General features: G+C 48.4%; 4 annotated features.

The window, feature by feature from the left end:
* Window positions 2,078-2,945: an enhancer, noted in NCBI's record as "H3K4me1 hESC enhancer chr10:132796630-132797497 (GRCh37/hg19 assembly coordinates)". NCBI's record gives its function as "activates a minimal SCP1, AML or CMV promoter by ChIP-STARR-seq in naive H9 embryonic stem cells {active_cell/tissue: H9 hESC(naive)}" and the evidence as "EXISTENCE:reporter gene assay evidence [ECO:0000049][PMID:30033119]".
* Window positions 2,946-3,812: an enhancer, noted in NCBI's record as "H3K4me1 hESC enhancer chr10:132797498-132798364 (GRCh37/hg19 assembly coordinates)". NCBI's record gives its function as "activates a minimal SCP1, AML or CMV promoter by ChIP-STARR-seq in primed H9 embryonic stem cells {active_cell/tissue: H9 hESC(primed)}" and the evidence as "EXISTENCE:reporter gene assay evidence [ECO:0000049][PMID:30033119]".
* Window positions 6,014-6,514: an enhancer, noted in NCBI's record as "H3K4me1 hESC enhancer chr10:132800566-132801066 (GRCh37/hg19 assembly coordinates)". NCBI's record gives its function as "activates a minimal SCP1, AML or CMV promoter by ChIP-STARR-seq in naive H9 embryonic stem cells {active_cell/tissue: H9 hESC(naive)}" and the evidence as "EXISTENCE:reporter gene assay evidence [ECO:0000049][PMID:30033119]".
* Window positions 6,515-7,015: an enhancer, noted in NCBI's record as "H3K4me1 hESC enhancer chr10:132801067-132801567 (GRCh37/hg19 assembly coordinates)". NCBI's record gives its function as "activates a minimal SCP1, AML or CMV promoter by ChIP-STARR-seq in naive H9 embryonic stem cells {active_cell/tissue: H9 hESC(naive)}" and the evidence as "EXISTENCE:reporter gene assay evidence [ECO:0000049][PMID:30033119]".

The raw sequence follows: 24,398 nt of genomic DNA on the forward strand, positions 1-24,398 counted from the left end.
TCAGTGTTAATTTGTATTGACTGCATTTTGTTTTTGAGTTCAAGCCACATTTTCCATTGTATGGTTATTGTTATTGTGAGGATAATTGGATACTGGGCATGATGAGTATTGTGTTGTAGGGAGACTTTTGTTTTGGAAAACAATTAACTTGCCTGGAATCAAACCACACTCTCTGCTTCTTCTGCGGGGAGAGGCGGCTGAAATCTCAGCTGTTATTTCAACGTTCAGTCCTACTTTTCCGCATCCCCGTGCGTCCTGATGCATGTTACCTTAGCGGTAAGCCACAGACTCCCAGAGCTGAGGCACCATCACTTGCTGTGACTGCTCCCTGCCATGATTTCCCCATTGATTTCTGGCTAAATGTAGAATGCCAGTTCCACGCTCTATCCTCAGTCATCATCCTACTGGCTTGAGTTGTCATTCCAACACTCCACCTGCACCAACTGTGGAGTGTCCTCAGTGAAAAACCTGCAGACTCACAGACCTAAGCCCCGGCAGATTGGCTTTCCTGCAGAGACTCCCCTCCACATTCCTGTGCATTGCATGTTCTCCAGGGCCTGCAGGGAGTTGCATTTTTACATTTTGGTTTTTGGGGTCCAGATTTTATAGTTGTTATCTGTGAGAGCGTTAGATTTCGCTCATCTACTCTGTCATTAACCTCTAATGGATTTTTGCTAAAGATCTGGTTAAGTAACACTGATTCTGGATTCTTAAGAAAGAATGATTTAAAGGTTGTATTTTATTTAGGTCTACAAAAGCTAGAAACACAACATGATGGCGACAATAGCCTTAATCATCTACCTCCGCTTCTCACTCTAAGAAAACACATTCTGTGACTAAATTATGAGGTGCTAAACTCAGAGTATAATTATTGTATTCATAAAAGATTGGTGGTAAGGTGTTTATACAATTCTCTGGGGTTGCATTCAAACTGTGTGAGAGACCATCCTATCAATTGTTGTGGTACTTGCACTCTTGAAAGTTTGTGCCCTAACGAGCTGGAAGATTGTGCTTAGGGCTTCTGACAACCCCTGGTGCTTCCTGAAACACAGGGTGCAGCGAAACTGGGAGTGTCCAGGGAGCAGATGCTCTGGGAACCAAGCACACTCCGTTTATGGAAGGCCAGGGGACCAACCCAGCCTCCCAGGGCAAGAGCTGTAGATACCAGACTTCAGAGGGGGGCAAGGTATGCATGTGAGTAAGCTGTATCACACTGAGGAGCTGGGTCTTATCCTGACGGCAGAGAAGCCTCTTCCCCAGGCAGTGCTATATCTGGAGCAGAGGGTGGGGGTTTGTTTTTTGCTGGCCTGTTAATTTACTGTGCTTGTTCTTTCAAGGATAGAAAAGATACTTCCTTCTATGCAGAGGAAGAGTGTAAAATAAAGGAGAATCTGATGATAAGGAAATAGAAATATGGGAAGGGGTGTGAGGGTGGGATTCTGCATTGGGAAGGAGGGGTGAGCCTCTTTCAGGGCACACATGCATCTCTCTGTGCCCACAGGAGTGAAAGGCAGAGGCTGGTAAAGAAGGAGACCTCAACACGTGAGGGCCCAGGAGGCTTTGTGGGTTCCACCCAGTGGCTGCGGGTTTTTCAGGGAAGTGCATTTCTATTCCCCTGTGTGAGCAGCAGGCAGCACCTCTTCTTAGTCCCAGGTTATAAAGAGGCAGAGCAGACCCTCCCTGCTTCCCTGGTTGCTGGGCTGACGGATGCTCAGGTAGCCACCTGCCCTCACATTCCAGTCGGGCAGCAAGGCACAACAGCCGTCCCTGGCAGGGTTATTAAAAAAACCAAAGCATTTCAGTTCTGCAAAATTAGAGATGGACTAATCATCCATTTCTTTTGGGGATGAGGAGACAGAGGCTAAGAACAGGACCCTGAGAATGTTTTCAGCCAAACTGAGATCAGGACCCGGTTTCCCCAGCCTCGGGAGGGCAGCAGCCTTCTCTGCTGTGGCTACAAAAACTGTCAGCAAAAACGGAAGGCAACCCAACACTTCATGAAGCTTTCCCTTGAGAAGGCATAGATCTGTGTGGGCAGAGAGGGTTCCAGGAATGTAGGTCCCTCTGCCCTGTCCGCTGCTGACCAGGACTGGGGGCTTAGGGACAGGGGGAGTTGTCCACAGAGGGTCAAAGGTGAGGGGTCAAAGAGCATGAAGAAGAGAGAGACAACTGGTCCCCACAAAGCCGGGAAGGGTTGTGTTTTACTTTCCATGGAAAATGGCTCCACATCATGTCCTAAAGGGGGTATGTCTGAGGAAAATGGTGGCAGAGGATGCCTGTCACGACTTCCTGCCATTCCCACTGAGGGTGTGAGGATTCCTCTGAGCTCTGGCCCGGCTCAATCTGGGCAACACTGCTCAGAGATTCCTAGGCCTTGCTTGGGTTCTCCAGACATGGAGAACAGAGACACCCAGATGGTCTGAGTCCTTCTCTCATCCTTGGCTTCTTACTTAAAACACCATCACACACTCCACAGGATCCGCCAATCTCCAGCAGTCACCAGGGAGGCTCCACGGAGCGCGGCTGCAGGAGGCTCCAGGCTTTGTTCGGGAATGGATCTGCCATCAGGGCTCAGTCACAGGCTGTCTCCGGTTCATTCCCAGTGGTGATGGGCAGACTCAGGCCCCGCCGGGGTCCAGCTCTGCATCCCACCTGGAAGTCACTAACCGCCCACGCTAAAGCTACCTGCTATGTTTCTGGGATGAAAGTCCCCTGGACCCTGGAGTTGAGATTTTCACCCTGTTCAGCCACCCTAGAACCATAATCTCAGGAATGTCTCCCTCCAAAACGGACAGGCTGACCCGCTCCAGCACTCGCTACTGTAACCAGCACTTTCTAGACAAGGTACGCTTTGATTTCTCCCCTTTCTGAAAAAAGATCTTCCAAGTCTCTTTTCCAGATTATTTAAAGAAACATGGTTATGATTATAGGGACAAAGCAAACATGTTCTCTCTTTTCCTCTTCCCGAGAGTAGGTGTCTTAGAAGAGACAAGATCCATGTTGAAGGAGACCATAGAAGGCATTTGGAAGGGAGGGAGAGAGGACGGGCAGGCTATAGAGGAGCCCAGCAGCCATGGAGCAGAGCCAGAACCCAAGGCCTGGAGGAGGGGCCGGATGGGTAGGGAACCTGGGCACATGCCCATGCCCAGAGGGGCAGAGACATGAAGCTGCCTGTCCCCAGTGCAGTGGCAGACCCTGCCCTGCCTTCAGGTGGGCACTGGAGGGGCCGCAGGATGCAGTCGAGGGCTACACAGAGGCGAGGTTTAGGCTGGAGTTCCTGGGATGAGCGCTTACAGGACAATGTGCTCGGAATGCATCTTCAGCCTGAGCCACTGCAGGCAGGGGGGCTCCCTGTTTCTCCTGCATCCATCCCTGCACGCCCCGTTCACAGCTGGAGGTGACCTGGAGAAGTGCAGCCTGGGCCTGGCCCTCTGTCTCCCATGCTGCCTGACCCTCCTGCAGCACAGCAAAGCACCATGGCCAAGTGTCATTCATCCTTTCTTCCAGAGCTGATTTCGTTCAGCCTCCAGAGCCCTAGATCCCTCTGCTTCTGTTTCAGAAACAATCCCAGCGCAGTACAAGACTAGGCTTGGTGTTTTCACCCACCACCTCTCACACCACCTGGTGGGGCCCAGACCCTCTGCATCCTCACCAAGCTTAGCTGCAGAGTTTTGGGGGCACCTGCCTGTCTGGCATTCTTGCTCGTGGCCATGGTCAGACCCCAGGGGCAGGGCTTCCCTAGTACCCACCAGGAAAGGCAAGGTGCAGGGCACAGCAGGAGGCCTCCAAGGGCAAGGCCTGCCCTGCTGCCAAGGAGAATGGAAGCACACCAGGTACCCTTCCATTGTCTCTCTTTGAGGGTCCTTACTCTTGCCCTGTGGGAGAAGCCACACATCTTATGTGACTTTGTATCTCCTTAAATTGTGACTTCATTTCACGGACACTGATGGCCAGGATATCTTCCTAATCTAGGCTTTGCAAATATTTAGGCCAGCTCGGATGCTCAGGAAATTGAGTCCTGGCCACTAATGACATACTAATCTAAAACTCACCTTGAAAGCCAGGTTGCCAGCGGGCATTAAGTTCCATGGCCATCAACTCTGATCAGTTAAAAAAACGTGCTGACTGCCCCATTGCCAGAATATGTGATGCCATCTTCCTCCACGAGAGGACCAACAGGTCCTCACAAGCTCTTCCCGCCTCTCTGGGCCTCCTGATCCAGAAAGCAGAAGTCTGAGATCATGGGGACACTGGGTAGGGGTCTTCCATATCTGGGTCTGGATGCATCCCCTGAGGTTATATTTCCCGTCACATCCTAAGTCTCTCCATGTCTTCCTGGCTTTGGTAAGATGATCAGCACCCAGGAAAGAAGTAAAGCTGAGAGGTTGGGAAGAACATTGCATCTGATGGATGAAGTTCCTGTGTGAAGCGCTGGGATGGGAAGGAGATGGCAGTGTCCAGGAGTATCCTGGAGACGGACTTCCACAGTGAGCTCTGTACAGGCAGGTCACCCAGTCAGGAAGCCAGGCCAGAGCACAGAAAAGGGTGTCTTTTTAGACCTGCGGTTGTGGTGGGTGGACGTTGTGAAAACAAGAGTTGAACTTGGCTGGGGGTTGGGCACATCAATTTGCACTGAGAGGTAATCTGAAGAGCAAGTGTGATCAGTGAGTGGAGGAGCAGAGAGGTGGGGCAAGGCGAGCTCCTTCTTCCTCTGCTGACCAATGCTTAGCCTCATGAGTCCAAATTTAAGAATGACTAACACAAGCCAACCAGCACAAACATACAGGCTACACAAGCACATGTCACCAGAGGAAGTTATCTCTAGCCAGAAAGAAAGGGAACAACATGCTGGGAACTCAGGCAACAACCAGACCTCTTAAAGTTGAGAACAAACTGAACCAAAAGAGAATAGCTTAAAACTGTTTGATATCCTCCATTAGATGCAAAAAAATAGAAATCTTTTATACAAAAATAGAAGAGAAAAAAGAAACAGCTACCACTCTGAAAGGAAGAAATATAAAGACATAGATGAAGCGTGTATTGCATGTTGAATAGCAAATTATGCATCTATTTTGGTGGTGGTACAGAGAGCTTTTACACTGCAGAGGATAAATTGGGGATGTATAGGTCATATCTGGGCAGATTTCTTAGAAAATAAGGTGAAGGAAAAGACAAAAATAGTGCAGAGGTGATGGATGACTTCAGAGGACCCTGCGAGGAAACTGTCAGGATGAGGGCGCAGATGTGCAGAATTGTCATCTTAAAGGATGAATCTGCTGAGGACCTCATGTCTCTCAGCCCCGGCTGTGCAGTGCAGACACCTGCGGAACTTGGCAAACCCTGATATATGCCCGGGGCCAACCTCAGAGTTTCTGGTGCAGTTGGTTTGGGACACAGCCTTCGGTGCACTGCACGCTTTAGGGCTCTTGGGTGATTCTAAGTTCAGCCAAGGATGTGCTTATCATTCTCCTCCTTCGCCTGACTCAAATCATAGAGTTTTCAGGGACAAATGCTTGATCATTCATAATCAGGGCCTCCGAGCACCATCAAAGGGAATCCATCCATGCCTTGTCCCTCGGCCTTTAGGCTTCCACTTCCTACACAGCAAGGCTTCCCCTCTTAGAAATGCATGTTTCCTAAGGAATCATGACACAGTGTCCTGCCCCAGCTCAAGGCGTGCTCCCCTCGCCTGAAATGACTGAGATGCAAGGGCTTTGACGGATTGATTCATCCTTTGAAGCCTCCAATTTCTGGCTGCCTGCAGCAGTTCCTCTCCCCGAATCTTCACAGTCACTCCTGATGCTCTGGGGCCCAACAGCTCAGAACTGGCTGGAGATGTTCATGTGGGTGGATGAGGATGAGAGTCACCCTTTCTCTTCCACTCTGCACATGCTACTTTGCACAGAATGGCAGGAAGCCTCCTACCCTCAACACAGCCTGCAGAACCCGGACTCCCAGATGGTTTGGGGTTTGCATTGTCCTGGGATGGTCCCCTGCACCCGACCTGAAGACGCTACTCAGCATTCAGAATAGAAAGCTCTATCTGTAATGGCTCTGTAGGGGGAAAAATGATGCAAACATTCTTGTTTTCTCTTATTAGACACAAGACAGACTCTGGCAGGGAGTGAATTCTGGCGAAGCATTTGGTGGAAATGCGGTTTCCACCTGTTGAGCTATTTGAGTCTGAGAGATTTATAGCAGTGACTTATTGTGCTCTCTGCAGAAGGCCTCCAAAAGCTCCCCAGGCGGCCTGGCCACCCCAGCAGTCATTTGCATCCTGCCTTTGCACGAAAATAGAATCTGGTCTCCCAGTCAAGTTTGAAGGAAGCATATTGAATTGCAAATCTTTTCAGCAAATTCTGTTTGAGCAGCACAGCCAATGTGGACCTGGCTCAGGCATCCTCAAAGTGAAGCAAGGCTTTGAGGGGAGCAGCAGTGCTGTGGGCCCCAGCTGCCGCCATGTGCCGGAGTCGCTCCTGGGCCCATTTGCTGCCAGTCAGGAACCTGCTAGCGCCTTAGAGCCATGCAAAGTGCTGATGAAAAGCTGCCTGGGCAGAGTCAGGGTAGAGATGGCAGAGCCCTTCTGTGTCACCTGCTTCGGTCACAGGAGTAATGAAGGGTATGAATTTTAGTTGATGTTGCTCTAGTAGTGGCTTAATTGAGTTCTCTCAGAGCTACCATCTTGGTTCTTAAAATAGTTCTCCATCTTATTACATCAATCTATCCCTGGTTTTGAGAACAACAACAACAATAAAATAGACAATAGACCTGTGCTCTGATGGAAACCCCTGGGTTCTTAGCATATTGCGTGTCTCCAGTGGTTGCTACAGAAATGCTTTGTATCCACCGTTCCTCTTTAATTCTTGGGACTCGTGCCTGGGAAATCTGTGGTAAAAGGTCCATTGTTAATATCCTTTCTTCAAATGGCTCCTGCTAACCCCGTTCCCTGCCAGTCTAACAGGCAATTCTATGCACAGTGGTCATTCATACAAGATGAGGTAAGAACCTGCTCTGAGAAGGGTCGTTTTCTTTGCATTAATCAGTATGTTATTTTGTTAGATGTTAAATTACCTGTATGTTGACACTGAGGTATAAACTATGGAGTGGTTTACACCTGCTGGAAATGAAACACATAGAGACTCACAAAGTAACACACCTAAATCAAACTTTTTGTGATAAATGAATACAGCAAAATTAATTCGATATTTTTGGCTATTAACAGTCTGTTTTGTGCTGGCAGCCACAAGGAAAGAAATGAGATTTATGCTCCACAGAAAAATAGCTGAGTCCCTGTGAAGGCCTGGAGGCAGCGTGTTCTGCTTTCCCTGCGTCAGGGGCTTGAACAGGTGCACTGAGGCAAAGAATGTTTCCTGGGAGCCCCACCCACTCTCTCCAAATCCACAGGGTACCCGCAGGAGGTGGTCACATTTTTTCAGAGCAAGGTAACAGCAAATTCACCCAATTTGCCTTCAATCCATTTAGACAAACATGTGTCTATAAGTGTTTTATAAACTACTGACTCATCATGCCATGTAAACAATTCTGTTCCAGTTGACATCAAAGAAATAATGGGTGCTGGAGCTGGTTCACAATGTCCCTTATTCTCTGTGACCTCTCCTGCTTCTCTCTGCAGCCCCGTAGACAGATGCTGTGCGTTAGAGAGGAGACACTGAGGAGGGAACATTCACAGAGGAGCTCGCAATCTCCAAGTGATAGCACTGGGACCTGCACCTACATGCCATTTCTGCAGATCATGGGGGAAATGCATATGGACTTTTACTCAATCCTGAGAGCGACGTCAGTGCTCACACACAGTGAGAACTGGAACTACATTGTGATTCCCCCAGCGGGCATGGGCTATTTCATTCTTTTCTGACTGCCAGACCCTAACAAAGGCTAGTCCAAAAGTTCTACGCAAATATCCATGTCATGCATTGCTCAGAACCATGCTAAATGTTCTTTTGGTTTGGATCGTTTGCAACGTCCCCCAGTGCATCCGGATAGTTGTCAGAGCTGTTTTATCTCCAGAGAGAGGGAGAGAGTGTTATCCCTTTAAGACTGCCCTGACTTCTTGGATAAGAAAAGTTCCCTGGCTGATCAAACCATGTTTAATGCCAGGGAGAGTTGCAATACCAGGTGGTAGAGAGAAGGGGGATCCATGGAATTCCTGGCCTATTGGTGGTGGGGTGTTAATTAGTACAAACACTTTGGAAAAAAACACTTCAACATCTGCTCCTAAAGTCAACTATCCATATGTTCTATCCACAGACATTCCTCTCTTGGATGAATACTCAAAGGGAATTCTAGCATACTACGAACAACTAGAGACAGAAGTTGGTTCTTAGCAGCACTGTTTACAATAGCAAAGACTTGGAAGTAAGCCAAATGCCCATCAGTAGTAAAATGGATAAATAAACTCTGGTATAGGCACATGGTGAAATATTTCACAGCAAACACAATGAAAAAAATGCAATGACACACTCAATAAGGCTTAATGGTAGTAATATTATATTGAGTGAACAATTAAGTCCCAAAAGGTTACTTTCAGGTATGAACAAAAGTTCTCTGTAAAGGAATTTAGAGGTAAGAGACTATTCCAGTGAATAGTTTGCAAACCAGGGAGACACAGCCTTCAGTGTTAAACTAAGGTGTGTTCCAGAGAACAAACAGAGGGTTCAGATTTTATAGCAAAATTCCTGCCCAGGTTTCCAATCAGGTCCCTTTATGTAAATGTAGGATTCGAACTTGCTTAGTCCTGATTGATTGACTCAGTTGAGTCCCGATTCGTTGATACAGCTGAGCCTTGTTTTGTCAATACAGGTGACCTCTGATTGGATGGTTAGGGTGAGCTCTGGAAGTCCCAAATTTAAGTAGAGTTGTGGGTTTTGGAAGACTCAGAGTATGTAAGTCTCGTCGGCAAATGGAAGCTTGTCTCAATTTAAAACACAGGCCCAGGTGGCACCTCAGGACCCATCTTGAAGGATTGGCGCTTTTAGTGCACATTCATTCACATGGGAATATATCATTTTTATAAAGTTAAAAATAATGAAAATAAAGCATATAATTTTAGGAAAATATCATATATAAATAGGAAAATTAAAAAAATGATGAACTTGTGTCCAGGATAACATTTACTTTGGTTGTGGGGGAAGCAAGGATTGGGTGTGGCCACTGCAGGTTAGAGGTAGATAGTTTTCAGGAAGATTCCAATTTTTGTTTTGGTTAATGGATTCAGATACTCATAATATTAGAAAAATAACCAAATGAAAACGGAACTTAAAAAAAAAGGCTGCATATGATGATAAAAGCTATCATTGCTGTGGACAGAATGATGGCCTGCTCCCAAACTTACATATTGACATTTTAACCATCTTGGTGACAGTATTTGGGGATGGGATGTCTAGAATGACATTGTTTGAAATTTGTCCCTGCCCAAATCTCATGTTGAACTGTGATCCCCAGTGTTGGAGGTGGGGCCTGGTGGGAGGTGATTGGATCAGGAGGTGGAGCCCTCATGAATGGCTTGGGCCATGGCCTTGGTGATGAGTGAGCTCTGAGTTCACACGAGATCTGGGTGTGTAAAAGTGTGTGGCGCCTCCCCCACCTCTTGCTCCCATTCTCACCATGTGAGATGCCTACTCCCCGTTTGCCTTCTCCCATGAGTAAAAGCTTCCTGAGGCCTCACCAGAAGCTGAGCAGATGCTGGTGCCATGCTTCCTGTACAGCCTGCAGAACTGTGATACCATGTTTCCTTTATAAATTACCCAGTCTCAGGTTTTTTTGTTTTTTTGGGTTTTTTTTTTGAGATGGAGTCTCACTCTAACACTCAGGCTGGAGCGCAGGGGTGCGATCTCAGCTCACTGCAACCTCCACCTCCCAGATTCAAGCAATTCTCCTGCCTCAGCCTCCTGAGTAGCTGGGATTACAGGCGCTTGCCACCTTGCCTGGGTAATTTTTGTATTTTTAGTAGAGATAGGGTTTCACCATGTTGTCCAGGCTGGTCTCAAGCTCCTGACCTCAGGTGATCCACTTACCTGGACCACCCAAAGTGCTGGGATTACAGGCGTGTTCCACTGTGCCTGGCCTCAGGTATTTCTTGACAGCAACTAAAGAGAGGCTTAACACATGCGAGGTAAGGTTGAATGAGGTCACAAATGTGGAGTCCCAATCCCATTAGACTGGTGACCTCATAAGAAGACGAGAGATCTCTTTCCATGTGTGTCCACCAAGGAAAGATCACGTAAACATGCAGCGAGAAGGCAGTGGTCTGAGAGCCAGGAGACTGGCCTCCCCAGAACGCCTCCTGCTGGCACCCTGACCTAGGAATACCAGCTTCTAGAACTCTGAGAAAACAAACATTTGTTGTTGAAGCCACCCAGCGCCTGGCATTTTTTGTGGTAGCTGGAACTGGGTGTCTATTCCCAGGACAGCAAGGATGAGGTAAAAGTGAAGAAATGCAAACAAAAGATGGTTCATTACCAAGCAGGCCTTAGCTAGACTGGAAACACAGCTGGCCTCTGTCTCTCTGCTTCTTCCTCATTGTCCAGTTTCCCCATTGGTCAGAGTTCTCCCCATAGGCTGCTGATGTCCCTGAACTTCTGCGGGAAGCACTGGCTGGCTTCAACAACGAATGTTTATTTTCTCAGAGTGCTAGAAGCTGGTAGTCCCAGTTCAGGGTGCCAGTGGGATACCCTCAGGTAAGGCCAGTCTTCTGCCCAACCCCCTTTGTACAAGGCACCTACTAGGAAAGCCAGAGCCTCATGCCCTGGGCACAGCACTTCATCTGCGTCTGGATGTAGAGGGGACAGCTGGATTCTGGGCGACTCCCACCACAGCAGAGGCTGCCTGGAGCTGCAGAGGTGCATCTGTGGTTGAATGAAGGTATAGAGAGATTCCTTAGCATCCCTTATGTCATGCAGCTAGTATGTGACGGAGCTGGGATTTGAACCCAGCAGACTGGCTCAAGAATCTGTGACCCTAACCACTACCCTACTTTGCCCTTGAGTTGAAAATTAGAGGGTCACTCTCTTGGGAAAGCTGAGAGTGTAGCCAGTGAGGTGTGAGGGCCTCGCCTAGGAAGACCGACGGTCCTTTCCCTGCTTCCTGGGCATAAAGACGGAACACAGGGGTTTTGTTTGTCAGTGTAATGCTTTTATTTGGTTTGGCCTCTTTGTTTTGATTCCCTAACGCTGGACATATATACTTTCTTAGCAATCACAAAAATGCACCACAATGATAGTTTTGTCTGTTTTCCCCGAACACTGTGCTCTGTGGATCCATTTTATGTGCACAGTGGTGAGCACACGTGTGAATAAGAAATAGAGAAACAAGTTTCTGGGTGAGATCTGGGATGCCTTCTGGAGCCTCAGGGAGCAAATGGCCGTGACAGTTTCAGTGCGTGGATGACAGCGTGGGAAGGTCACCTGCAGCTGCGTGAGATGAGACTCAGCGCCGTGACATTCAGGGGAACAGGGAGAGCCACAGGCTGGTGCTTTCATTTCTATAATATTGCAGACTAGAGGTTCCAGACAATCCTCCCGCTTCAATGTGACTAAACGTGTTGGACACAATATAAATAAAAAAATCTTCTTATACATGGCATCAAATTGGCAAGAAGTAGATAAAATCTTCAGGCAAATACCAAGGGAAAGAGCAAACTAGAGAATCACCCGGCTCTGAAACCACAGCTGTGCTGATGGCCCCTGCCAGCACTGGTGACCTTGAGCCTGGAGAACAGCAGACAAAACCCAGGCCCAACCTGGAGGGGGCATTGGACAGGAGCCTCTTCCATGAAGCCAGAGACTGAAAGGACTATCCTCTCAGTAAAATAACTAGAAAAAGCAATCCACCCTTACAGGAAGGAGGACAAGAAACCCCATCCTGGGTGGGGGTATGTGGGGAATCTCCTCTGAGATTCTGTAACCACCTTGTTAGCTACACACAAGTTATTGACCTGAATTTGCACAACATAGATGGTCCAAAAAACCTCAAGTTAGTATTGAAAGGTAGTCATAGGGTGTGGGGTCCCCAGGTGCTTGTCAAAATCTAAAGTGAGTGGTCTGGAAGAAAGCCCCTTCAGTGCAGTCCCCTGTGTCCTCACAGATAGGGCTCCATCAGACATGGGCCTGTGATGCAAAAATTAAGCTAAATAAATCAAAAGTACAGCCTGCAGGAGGAAACAAGATACATCACAAATATAAAAAACTAGAGAATTGGATTTGCAAAGCTTGCATATACTGGAATTATCAAGAACAGAACGTAAAACTTAATGTTTTCTATGTTTACAGTGTAAAAAAGGGAGGGAAGTATTGACTATCTGAGTAAGAAATTATTAACATGTCAAAATGACTAGGCACATCCTCACCAACACTTGCCACATTCTGTTCTGTCATAATCGTCCTCTGACAGATGTGAGGTGGTGTATTAGGGTTGTCTGGGGGAAAGGTCTAATAGGACAGATGTATATGTGAAGGGGAGTCTGTTAAGGAATATTGGCTCACACAATCACAAGGTGAAGATAGGCTGTCTGCAAGCTGAGGAGCAAAGAAGCCAGTCAGAGTCCCAAAACCTCAAAATTAGGGAAGCCTTTAGTCTGTGGACAAAGGCTCAAGAGCCCCTGGCGGATCACTGGAGTGAATCCAAGGGTCCAACAGCTGAAGAACGTGGAGTCTGATGTTTGAGGGCAGGAAGCATCCAGCATGGGAGAAAGACGAAGCAAGTCTGGCCTTCCATCTTCTTCTGCCTGCTTTATTCTAGCCTCGTTGGCAGCTGATTAGATGGTGCCCACCCAGATTGAGGGTGAGTCTGCCTCTCCCAGTCCACTGACTCAAATGTTCATCTCCTCTGGCAACACGCTCACAGACACACCCAGGAACAATACTTTGCATCCTTCAATCCAATCAAGTTGACTCTCAACACTAACCATCACAGGTGGTGTCCCACTGTGGTTTTGATTTGCATTTCTCCAATGACTCCTGACATTAAGTACCTTTTCCTGCACCTGTTGGCCACTGCTGTGTCCTCACTGCAGAAATATCTATTTAGGTCTTGTGCCCATTTATTAATTGAGTTACTTTTGTTGGTTTGTTTGCTATTCAGTTGTATGAGTTCCTTGTATATTTTGAAGACTCATCTCATTAGATAGATAGTTTACAAATATTTTCTCCCATCACATAGGTTGCCTTTTCATTTCATTGATTGTTTCTTTTGCTGTGTAAAAGCTTTCAGTTTGATGCAGTCTGACTTGTTTATTTTTGCTTTTGGGGTTGATCTGTGCTTTTGGGGTCATATCCAAAAAATCATTGCCAAGACCAATGTCAAGAAGCTTTTTTCCTGTTTTCTTCTAGGAGTTTTATGGTTTAAGTCTCACATTTAAGTCTTTAATCCTCTGAGTTGATCTTTGTGTGCTGTATAAGATCTGGGTCAGTTTTATTCTAATGCATATGGATATCCACTTTTCCCAAAACTGTTTATTGAAGAGACCATCCTTTTCCCATTTTGATTTTTTGGTGCCTTTATTGAAAATTAGTTGACCATGTGTCCACGTATTTATTTCTGGGTAGCTATTCTGTTCCATTGATCTATGTGTATGTCTGTTTTTATGCCAGTACCACACTGCATCACTGCAGCTTTGTCATACATTTAGAAATCAGGAAACAGGATGCCTCCCACTCTGTTGCTCTTGCTCAAGATTGCTTTGGCTATCTGGGGAGCTGCAGAGGGTGCACCAGAGGGAGCCCACGCCTGCAGGCACCCGAGCTCCCAGCACAGGAAGCACGCTCTGTCCAAGGCACCTCGCTGTGTTGACTTACCCACCTTGAGAATGTAGCTGGATTATCTTCTCTAATAAAACAGGAATGGTTACAAGGTATCCTGAAGCATGACATGAGTCCCTGTGCCCCTCCATTAGACAAAAATGTTCTGAACTCAGACTCTTCTGTTTTGCTTCTGCATCAGTTATTAATGTTATGGAGAATGAAGTAGGCTTGATATTCTAAGAGTTAGTCAACTTCAAGGACAGTCTTTCTTTTCTTCCTTTTAAGAGAATTGTCAGTGGTAAGTAAGAAAATTTGATATCATAATAATCTCTCCCAGACCATAAATAGCAACTCAGAAAGGATTTTTTTTTTTAATTCACGTGATTAGAATTAGTCTTCTTCAGTTTTCTGGCCCCTGAAGTGGTGTGTCCAACCCTCAGGATTACCTGTTGCAGAAACGAAACTGCTTTTGTATTCAACCAGGAGGAGCTAATCATCTTTAATTATTTTCAAAATTAATTTTCTCCCTAGAAATATTATTTATTTCTTCATACATCAAGCTGTCAATACAAGTGATTTGGAAACTGGAGGATTCAGTGAGTCTTAGCTTGGGGGAAATGAGAAATGGAATTATGTGAATATAGAATCTGCGTTTGAGTCAGAACGCCATATTGGTATTTCAAATCAAAGGTGGATGAATTTCTGGGAAATCTTTCTCTAGTCAGAAGTGATGTTTTTCTCTTTAACCAGTAAGATACTATCCATAGGGGCTTTATATATTTGAGGATACACTTTTTCATAACATAGGGATAACACTAGGTCATATTTTATAGGGTGGCTATTGAGATTAAATAAGCTAATGTCAATGTGCAAATTTTAATTCTAAGTATCTGGTGATATTTATAAACCTATTTATTCTGACATTTTTCAACTTGATTGTTTTAATATCCAAAACTTGAGCTAATGAAGTCCTTTATTTGAATCACACCTGCCTTCAAATTGCCATTGGTTCTGGCTTGCTTGCCATGTGAGGACACCTGCCGGGAGGCCTCCTGGGAGGCAGGCAGGAAGACTTCGCCTCTTGAGGCTGCGGATGGCCCTCTGAGGGAGGAGCCGCCTTCCCACACAGTGGGTCTTGGCCACCTGAGCAGCCTGAGGAAAGTGACGTGGCAGAACCAGACACCCAGAACCACATACCCCGAACCACACACCCGGTCAATACAAGTGAGGGGTATCTGGGGAGTTGGGGGTATCTGGAAGGTAACCAGGACCAGAGACCTGGGGTCCATGCTCCCAGGACCCAGGGCCAGCAGGATGCAGAGAGCTAGCTCACCACGGAGGTAAGGGGTAGCGTAGAAAACCAGGTAGTTACCCCACGGAGCCACGCCCAACTGAGGACCTGCACTGGGGGTTCTACAGGCCCAGCAGCCCCCAGCACCAAGCTTCTACTGGCCAGAAGACTGAGGGAAGAGGCCTGATGCTCTCCAGCAAGTTGGCCAACCAGACAGGACTTGGAAGGGAATCAGGACGAGGAGCACCCCAGAGCCCTCGGGGTGAGGACAGCCTGCCGTGGCTTACCTCTGCCATTGGTGGGTCAGAAGGTGGGGGGCTCTGAACACCTATGTGTTTGTATTTGCAATCTTTTGTCTACCACTTTGCAAGGGCTTGTTTGTATTTGCAGTCTTTTGTCTACCACTTTGCAAGGGCTTGAGAATGGCCCAAACTCACCATGACTGGATGAGTGGAAACAGCCCAGTGTCCGGGGAGGCTGGGCTGGCTGTAGGGCTTTGGTGGGAGGAGTCAAGGATGGATGAATGGCATGAGTCTGTAAGTCAGGTGCTGAAGACCCCGATCCCCCACCTGAGGGCCACATACAGAGCAGCTCATCCCAAGGCTGGAGGGCCCAGACTTCCTCCTTGGAGCTCCTGCTCTGTGTTCCTGAGATCCTGAGTCTGGGGCTGACCTTGAGCTGGGGCCACTCAGAGATTCCTGGGCCTGCACCCTTTTCCCCAGACTCACCGCCCAGCTCCCCAGTTCCCTGCATCATCCTCATATCACAGGTTACCTGGTCCTTCTCAAGTGTTGCTCCATAAAGTGGCACAGAGAACCCCTGTGGTGCCTCTGCGTGGACCTGCCTGGGTTGAGGACAGCAGGACAGCAGCCTGCTAGGTCTCCAGTCTGTGGAAGCCGCGTGTGGGGGGCCCTGCAGCAGCCAGAGGGTGGTCCAACTGGAGAACAGAATCCAGAAACTTGTTCATGAGGAGTGAGGTTTAGGAGCAGAATTCTTTACCCTGGGCAGGGCAGGGGCCACTGCTATGAGTAGGAATGGGAGAAGCTGGGAGCTGACCCAGGAGCCAGCCAGGCCCTGGAAGCAGGTGCAAGGCGGGGGTGGCCACCAACCCAGAGCCCAAGAGCCCTGAAACTAGAGGTGAGGTCGGATGTCAGACGTCAGAGCAGGGTGACGATGCTGGCCCTGTGAGGCTGCCCGGCCTCTGCTTCCACCTCTCCACACAGCAAAGACCCCACTCGATGCCCCTGTGAGACCCCAAATTCAGGTTCAGTGTGATGTGCTTCCTTGACAGTAGAAACAAGCCTGACTGCAAGTTCCTTCTAGATGCTGCCCCCACAGAAGGGCCCCCTTGCCAAACAACCCCCTTTATCAGACAGCTAAGGCAGCTACTACTGATTCCTGAGCAGGGGGTTTCAGGTCCCTGCCAGCCCGTGGAGTCATTCAGACAAACCAGTCACACCTTCCCGCAGGAAGCAGGGGCACCTTGCCCTCTTGGGACCACCCAGACTGCCCCACAACTCTGCGGGCTCACTGCTCTAAACGCATCCCCCTGTGACCCCATGTGGCCTGGTGTCCTCCTCCCCAGGTGTGGGTGTGTTTGGCTGATTAACCCCCATCATCTCATTGATCCTAGGTCAGGTACTGCACGATCCTACATAACCCTGGGGCAGACGTTTCTTCCTCACCAAAGGGGTGAAGGGGGCATTCAAGGCCTCCCTGCTGGGCTCCTCAGCCCTCTCCGTGGCAAGGCTGCCCCAAGACAGGAGGAAAAGAAGCAGCTTACGCCCAGCACATTGGAAAGTGGCCATCATTCTTTCCCTGCCTCGCTGTCTAGTTGGATAAATGGGCTCTTGTCACATTCCCCAGCCCTGCACACATTTTTCACTCTCATTCTGGGGACTGGGCCTCATTTATTTCCCAGGCTGGGTTCTCTGCCTGGACAAATGGGCCCAGAACTGAAGTGCCTCCACCATCAGCTTCCGTCTATACCTGCCCCCGGTGCCTGGGGCTTGTGCCTTGAGTCCCAGCCTGAGGCTGAGGCAGGCTGCTTGCCCACATGCCTGCCAGGTGGCCTGCCTGCTTGGCCCTCTGCCTGGGTGACACCTGCCCCTGGAATCCCAGATGTCAGACTCTACCCACGTCGAGGTTTCTTGCGGCTGGTTGGTGTATGGGGCTGGCTCTAACCGGCCATCTTCCATGTTGACCTCTGGAATCCATGCTTCCTCCACCAGGATGCCATTCATCTAGGGTGCCAGCATCTTCTCAGGTCCAAGATCCGGACAGCGCAGTCCGCCCACACGGACGTCATTCCCAGCTCTGCCTGCATTTCAGGGTGCTGCTCCCCAGCCACCCGTCTCCTGTGACTTGCGTTCCCTGTGATTGCTGCAAGGTGGATCTGGAGTCTGGGAGCCCACGCAGAGCCTCACAGTTCTCAGCAGCTCTTAGAGTCACTGTCCACAGAGTGGCCATTGTGGAGTGGCGATGAGTGGGACGTCAGTGACCTCCCTCAGCGGAAGGGGATATTTTAATCCACTTTATTCCAAAAGCAAATGATGTAACTCAGAGTTTTCTTTCTTCAGTTTTGCATACAAAAATATATAAAATATAATGTTTATATTTCCGATTATATAATCAGTTAAATTATATTAATTGATCCTGCAAGTAATGTTATGAATGTAGCAATTACTTTATGCAAAACTGTCAGGAAATGTTCTAAGATGATGTTAATTTTAAAATATTTATAAATAGTACAAATGAGCAAATGAGGCTTTTTGGAGTTCGTAATTTGCAAATGACGAGGGATATGGCCACAAATATGTGTTTCTTATTTTATTCTAAGGCTTTCACAGTCCAGTCTCTAACAAAAGAACATTTGAACAGGGACTCACTTACCCTTATGTCCAGATAGCACAGTATTGAAGAATGCCCGGTAGCAGGGTGCGGTTTCTTGGATGGAAAGTCATGGAAAGTTTCTTTGTATCATTTAAGGAAAATGGAAATTCATAGAAGAGATTCTGGCACCCACTGCACGGGAGACACACTGGCCCACCTGCCCCACATAGGGTAGGAGCAAGAAGGAGGCTGGAATCCAGGGCAGGCCCTGGGCAGGCCACATCCTTTCCAGGAGAGGGAGCCTGGCTGGTATGACTGTCCTAGCCTGGGTCACCCCTGCCTCCAGGGTGCATGGCACCAGGACAAGAGTCTCTCCAAGACCTCAGAGAATGAGGATGACAGTTCTCCAGGGGAAAGGAGACACCACGCCCAGAAGACAACAGGCAGGTCCACAGGCAGGAAAAGACAGTGAACCTCCACCATGGGCAGGTGTGTTGGCAATGAGGGAAAGGGGGGTTCCTTCCAAGCATTCAGGCACACTGTCAACTTCAGACAGACCATCAGTAACAGATTAAGATACAGCAGATGAATCATCCCTTCACGCGCTTAGAATTTAAATATAAGATACTATTTTTAAAATATTGGGATTATAAAACATATGTTTGGCATAATTATAAAAATTACTTGGGGTGGTATATTTTTCTTAGTTGTTTGAAAATTTTCTAGGTTTTGGTCCTCATATCTATCCCTAAATTGTCACCTGGGTAATCTGGCATTTTGTGGGATTAGAAAAGAAATCATGAAAAATTCAATGCAATGTTTAGAAGTTGGGAGAGCAATTTTGTGAAAATGCACTGAAAAAGATTCTCTGAGCATAAGTTCTTGGTCCCTGAGATACTCCACTCGTTGAGCTAATAGGCTTTTTCTTTGTCCCCCCCCAACCCACCCCTATGCACAGGGTCAAGGGGAATTTTTTATATACCCGAATTTACCTGCAAGTCTCTCTCCCTCTCTGTCTTTCTCTCTACCTACCTACTTACCTATCAACTCTCTATCACCATTTGACTTCTGGATTGACTGCTTCTTGCACTGGAAGACATACCTTCCAGTTATTGAGTCAATCCCAATCCACATTGTCTATGCAAGTGTCCTAAAGGCAGAGACAAATGGCAAGCCCTGCGGAAGCTGGCAGTTGGATTGGATGTTGAGAGTACCTGTGACTTGAAGGACGAATAGGATTTGGCCACAGCGAAGGGAAAAGAGAAATGGCAGTGTAGGCATGGCACAAACCGAGGCTTCCGGTGTAAGTAGGGAACAGCTAGGTCCTGCCCGGCTGCAATTCCAGTGGTGGTTTAAAATCCCATGGAGGATAAGACAGCTGGAAAAGATGAGATTCCATCGTTTGTCTGAAAATGATCCACGGTTCTGGTGAACTGGTAGGTCCTAAAGAACGTGGAAATTTGCCCAGCTGAAGAGTGACTGGAAAAAAACTGTAGTTTCAGGATTCAGGACCTGGAAACTCACAAAGGGGAAGCTGGAGGGGCAGCTGAGGCACTGGCTGCCATGTCTTGTCTACTTAGGTGCAGAGGCCCAGAAATCCAGATCCACGGTGGATGAAAGAGGTCACCGGGTACAACTGCTTCCCTGCAGGCAGGAGGGCTGGGCTCTGTCCTGGCCCCCGGCCTGTACATTGTCCCCAGGACTCTAGAAAGGAGTATAAAAGAGCAACATGGTAAAACATATTGGTTCGGGGTAAGTGCCAACGATCAGAGCGTACGCCTCACTTCCCTTACATAGGAATTTAGCAGAAACCTACACTCCCGCATTTGATAATTTACTGCAATTTTTTGCATGTATGCAATTGTAGCTATGTTTTATTTTTCTGGTTAAAAAATCAGTTTTTACTTCATATTTTTATCCTCAAAAGTGTTTTGTTGTTGTTGTTGTTTTTGTTTTACGTGAATAACTGCTTACCCTAACAAAATATCATGAGCATCTTAGCTTTTCACTTGTTTTATTCAGAAAAGTGTCACCCATTATCCCACTACCCAAGGACCGGCCTAATCACATTTTTTCAAGAACAGCAAAAACACAATGAACTTTTGTGCAATATTATTTTTATAACATTATTTTTGAGAAGTTTTCTAGAGTGGTCTGGTTTTAAACGAGAGTGAACTTAAACTTTTGGTGATGGCACGAATAGTGGCCATTGCTTTGGGATTTGCAGGCTGAGGAGATGGGCAACAACAGAAAAGAAGGCCAACTAAAATCAATGTCTAAACCGCTCTGCACCAGGAATCCCATAAGGAAAAAACGCAAGGCACCGAGAACTGGAATACATTCACTTTATTAAGTCTGCCACAGACATCACATACGGCTTCACCCTCTGTCTTAAAAAATAGTGGCCACCAAGCAGCTCTGCACATAAAATGATGCCCAGAAACTACTGACTCAGTAATCCTGCATATGTGTAAGCCATGCTTGTCTTCATATACATGTCTATGTATGCAGACGCATATCTTCAGCAAGAAGGCAAAGAACGGACCCCTTAAGAAATCAGAGCCAGGCCGGGTGCGGGGACTCATGCCTGTAACTCCAGCACCTTGGGAGCCCAAAGGGGCAGATCATCTGAGATCAGGTGTTTGAGACCAGCCTGGCCAACATGGCAAAAACCCGACTCTACAAAAATACAAAAAAATTAGCCAGGCATGGTGGTGCATGGCTGTAGTCCCAGCTACACGAGAGACTAAGGCAGAAGAATCACTTGGACTTGGAGGCGGAGGTTGCAATGAGCTGAGATTGTGCCACTGCACTCCAGCCTGGGCAATAGAGCAAGACTCCATCTCAAAAGCAAACAAACAAAAAGCAAACAAACAACAAACAAACAAACAAAAAAAGAAGTAAGAGCCTCTCTCTAAGTTCAGCCAGAGGTTGAACCTTTGAGGCTCTGGATATTCATAAAGTGAATCCCTCCAGTTGACATCCTTTCTCAGCCTAAGAGTGGACCTAGCTTTCATTGCTAATGTGTAAGTAAACAAGCTTTATTCATCTTAAACCTGCTATTTCTGATCATGAAGCCAATAATTTTGCTTCCTATGATTCTGAATCACTCATCTCATAGTGCCTAGAAGTGTCCATAACTCAGAGGGTCAGCAGCATCCACTCATCATGCCCTGGTGCTCTCAGTGAGGAATTTTATTTTTAGTAGAGCTGAGCTCTGGCTACCTTGAGCAAAAGGGAATTTGTGAGTAGGAAATGAGGGAGCCCAGTGCATCTACCACAGACTGGGGAGGCAGGCTTAGGGCCATGGGGAGCCTGAAGGCATTTTGCAAGTTGGCATAGGACACAGCGATGTTCTCTTGGCAGGAAGGGTGGACAAGCACCCTCCACCTGATGACTGACACTCACCCCTTTGTCATCTCCTCACATCCATAGCCTAGGTACATGCCTCAGGTATGCAATGTCCAACAGGCCAAGGTAAGTTTTCTTGAGGCAGGGAGCCAACACGATGACCACTATCATCGTGTTGATAGCTATCAACAGTGACACCAAGCAGAAAAACCACCTTTCCAAAAGAATGCTCACCCTGGAGGGCTCCAGCAGACTGACAGGGCACTGCAAAGAGGGACAACCATTTTGGCAAAGGAAAGGGATGGATGCCCACAGCTCCTGTCGTGCAGCTGGAGCCTTGCAAAGCAACTTCATAAAGCCTGTGGACTGTTAACCTGCTGACTTCAATTGAAAACTCTTCAGATGTTAAAAACAAACCTGTTTTGGGCTTAATGTCCAGCAAATGTCATGTTTTGCTAAAAGACAGCATGGCAGGCAGACCCCGGGGTGACCCACAGCCCCCTGCCTGGGGTTCACCCCTGCGCGCTTTCTCCCCTGAGGTGAGGACTGGTGACTGGCTCCTAACCAATGGAATGCAGCAAGACGGTGGCGTGTGCATGCTCACATAATGGCGATATCCATCTCACTCACAGGCTGTCCCCTAGCAGGCTTTGGAGAAACAAGCCTGCATGTTGTGGGCTTCCCTAGGGGAGGGCCACAGGGCAAGGAGCTGAGGGTGACCTCCAACCACCAGTCAATAAAAAACTGAAGCTCTCAGCCCATTGGCCCCAAGGAACTGAATACTGCTGACAAATACACGAGCTCTGTGTCAGATCCTTCCCAAGATGAGCCTCAGATGAGACCCCAGTCCCTGCAGAAACCTGGATTGCAGACATGCAGTTGCCACACTCAAGCTGTGCTTGGATTCCTGGTCCACAGAAACTGAGATCACAATATGAGTTGTTTAAAGCACTGAGTGTGTGGAAATATTGTCACATAGCACTAACTTACATGTAGCTGGTTGGTCATAACTCTCTGTATTGCACATGGACAGTATCCCTGTACAGCAGCCTCCAATGCTCCAGGCTCTCTTTACCAGGAGGAAGTGAATTTCAGATGAAATCGCCCAAAAGGGCAACACCAAACCCTGCACATCCCACTTGGTGAATGTCTAAATCTTCAGGAGTAGCTGGAAATCAAGTGCTTGTGGTCCTACTAAGCACATTTGACATTTACCAAATGAGGACAGCCTGGTTGCCCAAGCACCATCCATAGCCTCAGTCTCAGAGCTGCAAGCCCAGCTCCTCTTCATCAGCCCCGGGTCAAGATCAAATCTAAGCAACTAAAGACATAATGGGAGCAAAAATACCCTCCAAAGTAAATATTTATCCCAGCATCACAGGCTGCAAAGTCACTTACATTTCCAAGTTCTGCAGCCCATTCACAGTTGATAAACTGATCATTTTCTCCAATGAGATAAAGAATGTGAAAGGGCTTTGAAAATGAGGTCACCGAGCAAGTGGGCTATTGTCAGTAGACCTTGGTCTGCATTTTCTCTGCATTTCATCACTTCCGTGGTAAAAGCCCTTTGGCCCCAGCTGAGGAAGAATCCGCCAATAGGCAGAGGAGCCTGTGAGTCCCATGCCTGTCCCAGGGACACAGCTTCAGGCCCCCAGAAGACCTCGGTTCAAACTCCACCTCCGGGTTTAGGGTTGGTTCTTCCTTCACTTTTATTTTCCCCATCTTTAACTGCAATTACATCTGACCATGTTGCTGCCTTCAGTGCACGCCCTGGCCTGGCCTTGGTCATTGCTGACGGCTGTGGTCCAGGTGCGTTCACAATTCTGAGAAGGAGATCAGCATGACAAGAACATTTGTCTGGGGCAGAGCCGTCCCTCTCCTCGCCCTGACACGTGAGCTGAACGCCAATGCCGGCCAGAGGCAGAAGGTTCTGCACTCCATTATTTCTCATGATTGTTTCACCCCGTGCCTGCTGCACTCAGTAAATGGGCCCAAATTGTTGCTTTGTCATTTTTCAAACAGGAGCAGCTTCATATTTATCACACAAGAGATAATACGTTCTCACCGTTATCTTCATGGAGAGACTGGGAATCAGGGCCCAGGAGGGAGGCTGGGTTTTCATTTAAAGTGACACTTAGAAAGTGAGTTCTCCTGGGTGAGGACAGAGAGCACTGGCCCAGGAGGCACGTACTGGAGGTGATGGTGGCCCAGAGGTGGGCAGGCCTAACACACGTTCCTCGGATGTCCTCCCTGGAAGTGCACCTCTGTGTTTAACCAGCCCTGAAAGGGTTCTCCCCCCAGCCATGCCCTGTGCCCCCCGGGCCCTGACATGTGCACCTGCCCCGAGAACGGTGGGAGCCCAGCACTGCCTGAGCCACCGGCAGGGACATCTGAGTTAGATGACTTGCAGCTGGCTGGCTTTCAGCAGGAGAAGGCAGCAAATCTTAGAGTGGTGGCGTGAGGTCGGGAACCCAGGACAGATGGGAAGAGGGCAAGCAGCATGTCTGTGCCCCGTTCCACCTTCTTCCGAGTGGGGAGCCCAGAGTGAGGGCAAGGAGACCTATTGAGAAACTGGGCAGATTGCCCTGAGGGAGGTCCTGTGATGGCATGAGGTCTCCTGGTCTGTTGGCTGCCTCTGTTTGTATTCCTCATCCCTACAGGGCCACACCCTGCATCCCTGCAGGGCTCACATCCCACACCCTTGCAGGGCTCACACCCCACACCCCTGCAGGGCTCACACCCCACATCCCTCCAGGGCCCACACCCCACATCCCTCCAGGGCTCACACCCCACATCCCTCCAGGGCTCACACCCCACATCCCTCCAGGGCCCACACCCCACATCCCTCCAGGGCCCACACCCCACATCCCTCCAGGGCCCACACCCCGCATCCCTCCAGGGCCCACACCCCGCATCCCTCCAGGGCCCACACCCCGCATCCCTCCAGGGCCCACACCCCGCATCCCTCCAGGGCCCACACCCCGCATCCCTCCAGGGCCCACACCCCGCATCCCTCCAGGGCCCACACCCCGCATCCCTCCAGGGCCCACACCCCGCATCCCTCCAGGGCCCACACCCCGCATCCCTCCAGGGCCCACACCCCGCATCCCTCCAGGGTCCACACCCCGCATCCCTCCAGGGCTAACACCCCACATCCCTCCAGGGCT

This window comes from Homo sapiens, chromosome 10, assembly GCF_000001405.40.
Source record: "Homo sapiens chromosome 10, GRCh38.p14 Primary Assembly".
In the NCBI taxonomy this organism is placed as follows: Eukaryota; Metazoa; Chordata; class Mammalia; order Primates; family Hominidae; genus Homo; species Homo sapiens.